At 55.2% G+C, this 9,841-nt stretch overlaps 2 annotated features.

Moving 5' to 3' along the window:
• Positions 2,343-2,954: an enhancer, noted in NCBI's record as "H3K4me1 hESC enhancer chr2:72021448-72022059 (GRCh37/hg19 assembly coordinates)". NCBI's record gives its function as "activates a minimal SCP1, AML or CMV promoter by ChIP-STARR-seq in primed H9 embryonic stem cells {active_cell/tissue: H9 hESC(primed)}" and the evidence as "EXISTENCE:reporter gene assay evidence [ECO:0000049][PMID:30033119]".
• Positions 4,938-5,925: an enhancer, noted in NCBI's record as "H3K4me1 hESC enhancer chr2:72018477-72019464 (GRCh37/hg19 assembly coordinates)". NCBI's record gives its function as "activates a minimal SCP1, AML or CMV promoter by ChIP-STARR-seq in naive H9 embryonic stem cells {active_cell/tissue: H9 hESC(naive)}" and the evidence as "EXISTENCE:reporter gene assay evidence [ECO:0000049][PMID:30033119]".

Genomic DNA, 9,841 nt, shown 5'->3' with positions numbered 1-9,841 from the left:
AAGGCTGAGGCCCAGGGCAGGATGTTGAGGCAGGAAAGTGACAAACAGTCAGAATCAAGCCGGCCTGGGATAGGCTGTCAGATTGTTCGGGGGTGCTGGCCAGGGAGCTGGTAGGCAGGGAAAGAGGAAAGAGCATGCACCAGCTGCCAGGTTGGGGTCTGGGGTCTTAGTCTCTTGGAATCTGCTTGGGTTCAGAGAGAAGGGATATTGAATCAAACTCACAGTGGACTAAGTAGGCTTCACATCTGGGTTCTAGCCTAGACTCCAGCACACATTCACTCCAGCCTTAGTTTTCTCCTCCAAAAATTGTCAAGCTCACCCCTGCCGTACCCACTTACAGGGACATAGTAAGGATCACAAAAGATTTAAAGGCCACTATGAATGTGAAAGATTTTATTCACAGACCTGCAGGACGGGGAGCTCACTACCTCTCAGGTGAATGCTGACTCTATTGATAGCTTCACTTAGCTTTCCAGAAGAGCTCTGGAAAAGAACGGGGTTTGTGCAGCCTTAGCTGGAGACCATGACTTCATGCTAACCAAGACCATGACGGGGTGGACAGACCCTGGAAAGCCAGAAGGTGATGCTGTCTGCTTTGGGAGCCTACCTGCAGCCTCTCCATGGCCTTGGCCTGCTCTGCCCTTGCCCAGTGGCACGTGTGCCAAGGTCTGGGTCCCTATCACTCACTCTGAAGGGGACTCATCCAAGAAGCTGAACAGATTCTGCTTGGTGAGCAGTGGCTGAGCCCTGAGCTGCCCCAGGCAAGCTAGGGGATTTCTGCCCTATCCCAGGAGGCAAATTCCTGATGCTGGCCCTCGAGGACGAGCCCCCTGGGAGTAAGGGCGTTTAGGGTAGTCCAGGGGACTGGGGTGAGAAGCAGGCGGCAAAGGCAGGCAGCTGGTTCAGACCTGTGGCAGGAAGTCACAACCAAGATTCATCCTGGAAAAATGCAACTAATGCTGCGCAGCTGGGGCCGCTAATCAGAAACACAGGCCCAGAGGTGGCAGCAGGGACAGGCCCAGAGGGCAGGGCCGGCACCGAGGTGATAATGGGCAGCCAGCTCTCAGGCCCTCTCCGCTGCAGGCTGTGCTGCTGTTTGGAGAAGGAGGTTGTCACATTGCAATCTGGAAGGGCAGTTTCTCTCCTGAGCCCTGCCTGCCTGGAGGGGGATTTGTGCGCTGTTCGTCAATAATGCTAACATCAGTTTAAACAATAGCTAAAGCAAGGGACTACAGGGTGTAGTGACCTTTACCTGTGGAGTCCCCTTCTCAGGTAACTGTGCTTCCAAAACCCTTGGGGCCTGTCTCCCTTCCCCCAGCACAGCCTGCCAGCAGGAGATTTCTGAGATGAGCCTCCCAGCCCTCAGTGGGCTCCCTCTCCTAAAGGTTTCAGCACATGGGCACAGGCTCTCCCTCTGAGAAAGGTGTGTGGCAGTGACTTCCTGCCACAGGTGTGAACCAGCTGCCTGGCCTTGCCACCTGCTTCTCACCCCAGTCCCCTGGGCTGCCACAAATACCCTTACACCCAGGGGGTTCCTCCTGGAGGGCACAGCCTCAGGAGTTTTTCTCCTGGGGTGGGGCAGATGTCCCCCAGCTTGTCTGGGGCAGCTCAAGACTTAGTCACTGCCCACCAAGCAGAATCTGTTCAGCTTCTCAAATGTGTCCCCTTCAGAGTGGGTGATAGAGGCCCAGACCTTGGCACATGTGCCACTGGTCACCAGACAAGGGCAGAGCAGGCCGAGACCAGGGAAGGGCTCAGGACAGACTCCCAAAGCAGAGAGCATCACTTTCTGGCTTTCCAGGGTCTGTCCACCCTGTCATGCAAACTGTGGCTTCAGAAAAACCAAGACTAGTGCCTGGCATGCAAGTAACAGCTGAGCTTACGGGAGAAAGGTGAGGGTTGGGCTCAGCCAGCACCCCTGAAAATGCAGTTCTGTTGAGCTCATTTAGCACTGAACAAGCTCCTGCTGTTACCCACACTCCGGGCACTGGGTTACAAAGCAAATTCTTTGTATTCTCTACTCTCAGGAGGCTCACAGTCTAGTTGCAGAGAAAAACAAGAAAAGAGCTATTTCAAAAGAGGTGAGTACAGTGACAGGAGAGCACTCTGGAGCTGAGGGCTTGCAGAGGGGCCCCTGCTCAAGAATGGGAGGCTGGGCTGTCCACTGGATGCTCTCTGTTGGTTCTCAATCCATACTCTCCCACCCCCCACCTTCCCAGCACCCCCTTCTCTCATCTTTTTTCAAGCTTCCCTTCTGCCCCTGATGATGTCTTCCTCTGGAAAAGCCCTCAGGGCTAAAGAAAGGGTATGGCCCATCCCCAGGGACATGATGGAGAGCCCTTCCCAAGGGAGAAGAGACCAACCCTGTAGACCCTTGGTCCGGAGGGGGTCCCCTCTGAAGGAAGTTCGCAGTCCTCTGAGCTTCCCCATGCTCAGCGCCTCCTCTGCCCCAGGCCTGCCTGGCTCCATGGGGAGGGATCTGAAGGGCCCCTTGCACCCGCACCAGGAGCCCCTCTGGGAAGGCCCAGCTTCTGCTGGGGCATTTCAGTGGTGCAAACCTCTGCCTCTGGAGACATCCAGAAGCCACTTTTTGACAGCTTTGAAGGAGCAGAAGTGATTCCCTGCCCTATACGGGGGAGCATCAGCCTCCTTGAATCCTCCAGACTCGAGTCCCAGGCCTGGGTTCTAAGGCCTCATAGAAAAAGTCTTGAAGAACACAGCTAACATGGCTGCAGCTACCTCAGGACCAGGTTACCCAGCAGACCCCTTCCCAAGTGGCTTGCCCCTCCCCACTCTGGCCCTGCAGCCTCAGGGGCCTCCCATTCTTCTGCCCAACTTCCCCCTCACCTCCACCCAGGACTTCTCACTGCCCTGAAACCTAATGCTTGGCGTCTCCTTCACTCTGGCCCAGACAAATCATCTGCTGTAGCCCCAGATCACAGAGCTCCTGAGTGTCAGCCTGGGTGACAGCAGAGGCCCCTGTCTTTAGCATAAGCATCAGATCCCTCAACTTGTCTCACTCTGTCACTATGTTGAATTTACCGGAGACATGGAGCACCCCTGTGGCTCTACCTGTAGATAGGACCCTTTCTTTCCCCACTCAAACTGTCTCACAGAGTCAGCTGCAGAGAGGCTCAGCCTCCCAGGCACATTGATGAATTGCACTGGGATGGCCACCACCTGCCTCCTCCCATGCTTTCACGGGCCTTGCTTTTTTTCCCTCTCTCTGCACACTGTGCCTGTAGACTGGATGCTGGGTGTGGGGCTGGGCTTCCAGCTGTCCCTCCCAAGTCTAGGAAGAAGAAGCAAGGTGGGAGGCAGGGGTGGAGGTTTGAGAAATGGAGGCAGAGGGAAGGGAGATGGAAGAAAGGAAATTTGGGCCAATGGATGGGAGGCATGGAGGGGGAATCTGGAGGGCTTGTGTCAGGTGGAGGGGGTTGGCATGATATCAGGGAGCTTGAATGGAGGAAGCAGGGGTCAGAGAGGTGGGAGCAGGGGAGAGGAGATGGGGAACCACAGCAATGGCAGGAGCTGGGAGCTGCTGCGTTGGAGGTTTCCTTACTGTCTGAGTGTTTGCCATGGAATTTCCCAGCCTAATAAAGAAGAATTTAAATAGACCACAACTTGCTTAATGTTGACTGTGTAAATAATCCAAATCCCCAGTTCCCTTTGTTCCACAGGCTATTTGTGTCAAGAAAGAAAGGGGTGGGGGGGAATCCAACAGAAGCCGCTGTCCCAGATAGCGAGAGTTGGGGACTCTCTGTTCTCCTCCATCAGGGCCCCAGGGAGCAAGGGTTGAGGCCTGGGACAGGGAGACTTGGGTTTCCCAGCCAAGCCTTCCATTTGTGAGCCCACATACGCAAGCACGTAATCCCCACACTGACTCACGTGCATACATGTACAGTGCGTATGTGTATGCACAGCACATTTTCCCTATACTGACTCATGTGCATGGATGTATATACATACACACAATTGCCCATGCAGGCTGACTCGTGTGCAGACAGGAAAACATGCAAGTGTGTACACACTCAAACACAAGGAATCTCAGGAAGGGTCAGCTGAAGGGGCCAGGCACAAGGTCTTAGCATGGGTCAGGTCTCAGCCACTTCCCTCCACCCCGTTCTACCTCTGAGCAACCCTGTGGCAAGGCCCTGGCTTACATGGCTCAGGAATGGGATCCTGTTGGGTGGGTAGCAGAATGGCTTTGGTCACACTAAGTCACATCTAAAGAGGGTTCCTGTTGGAGGAACAGCATGAAAACCAAGTTCAGAGTTGTTCTCCAATCCCCACTCTTGGCCAATGACACATCCCCTCCTCCCACAAGACCCGTGTACCACCACACTCAGCTATGCTGAGGACTCGGAAGAGAGGGAGAAGAAACAACCTTCCCTCAAGCTTGGGAACCGAGCACGGCAGTTTCTAGCCCCTTATTCATAGGCATGGCATAGGCAATTGAGATATATCACCACCCAGTCCGAGGTATCCGAGAGAGAGAGGAAGGAAGAGAAGGAAGGGAGAGAGAGAAGGAGAGAGCTAAGAGGACAGGAGTGGAGAAGGAGATGACAGGAGAAGAGAGGCAAGGGGAGGGGAAGATGACCAGTGTCATTTCATTCTTGCGTGTGTGCCCAAGCAAACTCACACACACATCACACAGAGCAGGGAGAATAAGGTCTGGCAGTGGGGAAGGGGCTAGCCATGCACGTATTCCCAGGTTAAAAATCCCTGCCCCAGTCCTAATTCTGCTTGGTGCCTGAGCCCTGGGTCTTTCCTAGCCACCTAAACCATGCTCCCACCCACTTCACTGCTACTCCTGCTCACAAGGGCATGGCTCAGACTGAAACAGTTATTTCTGTGCTCAGCCTCAAACTCTGGAAGGCCCAACAGAGGTCCCAAGAAATCAGTGGCAGGGGCTGGCTGAAGACCAAGCCCAGACTATAGAAACCTTGTAGGGGTGCGATCAGGGCTCCTATCCCAGGAAGTCACAATGTAATTACATCCTGAGAATACAAGAACAACCAGTGAGTTAAGAGTAACCACTCCAGATAACCCAGGAGGTATCAATCACCAGCGGCTGCCTTATTTCCACGAAGCCCCCAGTCCACTTTCTCTGCTCCCCCTTTAGGGCAGGGCCTCCAAGGATGGAAGAGCAGGCGACTGGTGCCTCCTTTTCTGGGTGGGCTGGGGGCTCCAGGCTCGGCACTGGGGCAGATGGTGTGCATCTCTCAGGCTGCCTGGGAAATGGACGGAAGTGGGGCTGTTCACACGCCCAGAATCTCTGGGCTGTCACCAGGTCCCCTTGATCCTCTTTCCAAGAAGGAAGAGGGGAAAATGTATCTTTCCAGGCCCTAATCCTCTCCACATGGGTGGGCACTGGAGCCGCCAGGGCCCCGCTGCAACACGCAGGCCTGCAGGAACACCAACGCCACTGCACGGGGAGGACCCTGCCCCCAGGCCCTGCAGGTATGTGATTGTAGAAGCCTCTGCCTCCCCAGCATTTTTTACACAGCCTCCACACTGCCCAACTCCTACCCCAGGCTAGCCTCTGCCTGGTATCCCCTTGCATGCTTCACATCAAAGGGAAACTGAGTCAGCACCACCCGATGGACACCTGGGTGGAAGAAGCCAGGCAAGGAGTCTGGCCTGAGCTGAGGCAGCCGTCTGAACCTGAAGCCCTCACAAGGGCATAACAGGCAAAGACGTCCAGGAAACCTGCCCGGGAGTTGGGGACCAACTCCTGCAGATCGCTGCAGTGCATCAAGAGGGGCTTATCTGCCTCCCTGTACACTAGGAGCAGGACCCTAAGCAGCTGTCCTCTCATCATTGAGCAACCCCCAGGGCTAGTTCCCCAAAGGGGGCCCAGGCTGGTGCAAATAAAAGGAAGGTACTAGAAATGCCCCAGGATGGAGCCCTTTGGGCCAGCAAGGGGAGCTAGGGGACCCTTGGGAGGAAGGTCTGTGTATGGAGACCCTTGTCCAAACCACCCCTGAAGCCCTCCCAGCCAGGATCCCATGAAAGGCCAGCTTGCACAGCAGTGTTACAGCTCTTTCTTGCTATAGCAAGATGGACCCCCCAGCCATCTCCACAGGCTGCAGGATCCAAGGCATGGCTCATGTAACAGTTGATCTGGGCCATATGGAACCCAACTCCCAAGTTCCCACGACCTGGGCATTAGTGACCTCCACGTTTAACATCTCATCTGAGGACACAGAACCAGCATGATAAGCACAGGCATGCGTGGACAGCAGATATGGGCTATATCCACGGCTGCAGCCCCCCGCAGCCCACATCCTGGTCCTCTAGCTTGCTCTTGCTCTGGGCCTACCAGGGATGCCAGGCTGCCTTGCCCTCTCCAGCCACCATGACCACACAGCCTGGACCCTGCAGGCAGAGAGGCTGCCAGGAGGCCTGGAGGCCAGGATGGCCTGGCCCTGCTTTGATCTTGGGCATCAAAGGCCAGGAAATGCAATCAGCTCTGAGGAGCACTCGCTGTCTGGTCGTCCCCAGCAGGCACAGGCCCAGAGCCCTCCCCGTCCTTCTCAGGCTGGGCCAGTCCCTAGCAGGCCAGCCAAGGGCTCTGGGCAGGGGGCTGGAAAGTCCACCCCCATCCCCAACCAATTCGACGGAAACTATTTTAATAAGAGCTAATTCTGCTGACATGGCATCTTCTTTCTGCACCCCCACCCCTGGTTCTATGCTCCCCTCCAACCCCACCCCCGTCTTCCCCCCTGACTTTTATTGTCCCAGACATTTGCGTGAAAACAGGAACTTTGTGCTCTGGGCTCCATCTGCTCCTGCTTATTTCTCACTTGGAGCTGCAATCCTTGGCCACGCATGCCCCCTCTCCACCACCTCACCCTTTTCTCCTCAGACTGCCCCCAGCATCAAAGACTTGTGGGGTCTCTGGTCCCTGGGACAGGCTGGGGTGGCCAGAGAGATTGGCCTCCTATGGGACCCCTTCTCTACCAGGCTGTGGTCATGGACACAGGGGGCTAGGAAGCTGGGACTGAGGCAGGACTTAGAGATGGACACCCTCTGCCCTGGAGCTGAATTCCCACCCCTGCCTGCATCCCTCTTTGCCCCAGAGGAAGAGAAAACCTCCCCCACCACCTGAGAAGAATTCAAGGTATCAGGGGAGCCTTGCAGACACCAACAGCATCTTGTGTGAGGAGCTGGAGTTTGCAAGTCCCAGGGATCTCCCTCCCTGAAGACCTCTGGATGAGCGTCTGGGAGTCGCATGCTTGAGCGAACGCCATCTTGTGTTGCTCAAGGGAATTAAAATGAATAGCCAAAGGCTGTTATTAAATAAATGAATAAGTGAATAAATACTACACAAACCTGTCATGAGGCACTCACTATGCGTCAGGCATTTGCCTAGAATTTTACAAACATGATGTCACTTAACCAGGGCGGCATAGTGCTGTTACAATCCCCACTACGCAGATGAGAAACTGAGGCACAGACAAGTTAAGTTGTTCCAGGTCGCGCTGCTGGGGAGAGTGACAGAGCCTAGCCTCCTTCATACCTGAAAACAGTCGCCGTCCACTCTCCCCTCTGAATCTTTGCTTCTGCTTTGCTCTGGAAGGTGCTCCTTCCTCTTCCTTCCCATCCTTCAAAGCCCATTTCCATCTTCCCCATGAAGCCTCTGTTCTCTTACCGCCATTTTAAAGCTAAGGAAACTGAGACCTACAGCGCAGTGACTGCATTGACCGTCAGCTCTTGCAGGGGCCAGGCTGCCATCTAAAACTGAACTCTTGGCTGGGTGCAGCGCTCATGCCTGTAATCCCAGCACTTTGGGAGGCCGAGGCGGGAGGATCACCTGAGGTCAGGAGTTCGAGACCAGACTGACCAACGTGGCGAAACCCTGTCTCTACTAAAAATACAAAATTGGCTGGGCATGGTGGCACATGCCTGTAATCTCAGCTACTTGGGAGGCTGAGGCAGGAGAATCACTTGAACCTGAGAGGTGGAGGTTGCGGTGAACCAAGATTGCACCATTGCACTCCAGCCTGGGCAACAAGAGCAAAATTCCGTCTAAAAAAAAAACCCAAACAACAACAACAACAAAAACTAAACTCTCTGGTTACCTAAAAGTTTTAAAACCTCTTTTGCTATTACCCATGGGGTTGGAAATTTGGAAATTTTTCTTGCCAAGCTGTCCAAATCAAGTGCCTTCGGATGCCAGGGGGGCAGGGCAGGGCAGGAGCCCAGACAATCAGCATGCAGGCCAGGCAGCGAGGTCTTCCGAGGAGGGCGCAGCATTGGTGGTCCTCAGTCCTGCTTGGCCAGGATCCTACCCATCTCACCAAGGTCTCTGCCCCTCAGTCCCTGCCAGCTTCTATGCCTGAACAGCACCTCAGCTCTGCCAAACCCAATGTCATGTCAGCAATCAGAACTGGGGTGCTCTCTTTAGGCCTGCCAACCTGGGGAGATAGGCACAGCCAAATGGACATGGTGTGACTGACCCCTGGACTGGGGAGGAGAGCCAGAGTCTATGTCTGGCTCTGTTTATTTTTGGGCAAGTCATTTGGCTGCCCCGGGCCTCAGTTTCCCATGACGTAAAATAGGAAGGGGGGCTCATTACGACAAACAGACTGACTACCGTTTGTGGAACAGGATGGAAGGAGTCCACAAAAGCAAGGTGTGTCTTTTCAAAAGATCTGGCAGCAGGTACCAGAGAGCAGAGAGGCAATTCTGGGGGCTTCCTGGGGGAGGTGAGCTGTAATCCCAGATCCTGGAGGAGGGGAGGGACGTCAGCTCTGCAATATATAACTGGCAGAGCCTTCCTGAGCTAGTGCTTGAGTTGCTGGTGCGGGCCTGGTGTGCTACAACAGAGGCCAGGGAGGGGGCCGCCAGCCCCACAGGAAGCTCCAGCATGTTGTTGGGTAACTTCTCCTCCTGTTTTCTGGGAACAAGCTATTTGGAGAAGAGGGGGAGGGAGACTTTAAAGGCTTCCAGATGGGGGGCCCTTCTGCCCAGGCCCGCTGCTGCGCCGCCACAAAGTCTGTGCATGCTTTCTAAGAATCCCAGCAAACGCTAGTCAGGGAGGCTTGGGGAGGTCTTCTGGGCCATTCCCCTGCCTCTGTGATCCCCACTATCCCCAAGCTAACAGGGGGCCATATCCCATCCTTTAGTAGTCATCATAGTAGTTATTCAGGGAGTGCACAGACGGAGAATGTGGTGTCACTGTTGCTACCCTCTTTCCTCCCTGAGATGCTCTCAGTGTCTTGGCATCCCCTCTATCCGCTTCATCTGGCTGCTTTGCCCTGAAGGCAGGGAGATAGAGGGAAGGGCCTTCCTCTCCCAATACCAGGAGAGACCATTTTCCCAGAGAAGAGAAAACATATCCACTGTGGGGCCTCTGTGGAGGGGAGGGGTGGGAGCTAGGGATGGAGGGAACAAGGGGAAAGCAGCAACTGAGGCTTCCCAGGGGAAAGGAGAGGAGGGCTGGGATCAGCTGGGGGCAGGTCCAGCCCCTCCTGCAGACATCTCCCTGTGCACCCAGCCAGGGCTTGCTGTGGGGTGGGCTCCCACTCTTGTCCCATCATTCCATGATGCCCATGCTCTGAGACAGCCGCCTAGCTGCCTTTTAACCTTCTTACCATCCTGGCTCCCATCCTCTCTCCTGGCCTGTCCCCACCAGCAGCCACTCCCTGAGCTGGAGTGGTCAGAACATGCAGCCCTATCCTGGGGACACCTAGTCTCACCCAGGCTGCAAGGACAGAGCCCTGGAGAGGTCAGAGGAGGCCCAGAGCAGAGACATTGTTGTCAGGGCTCAGCCTGCCAGGATCCCTTACCCCTGTCAGCCCTGGCTGGGATTTGCCCACCAGCCTCAGGCTGT

The sequence above is a fragment of the Homo sapiens genome, chromosome 2, assembly GCF_000001405.40.
Source record: "Homo sapiens chromosome 2, GRCh38.p14 Primary Assembly".
Classification (NCBI taxonomy): domain Eukaryota; kingdom Metazoa; phylum Chordata; class Mammalia; order Primates; family Hominidae; genus Homo; species Homo sapiens.
This window is presented reverse-complemented; position numbering and strand designations above follow the sequence as displayed.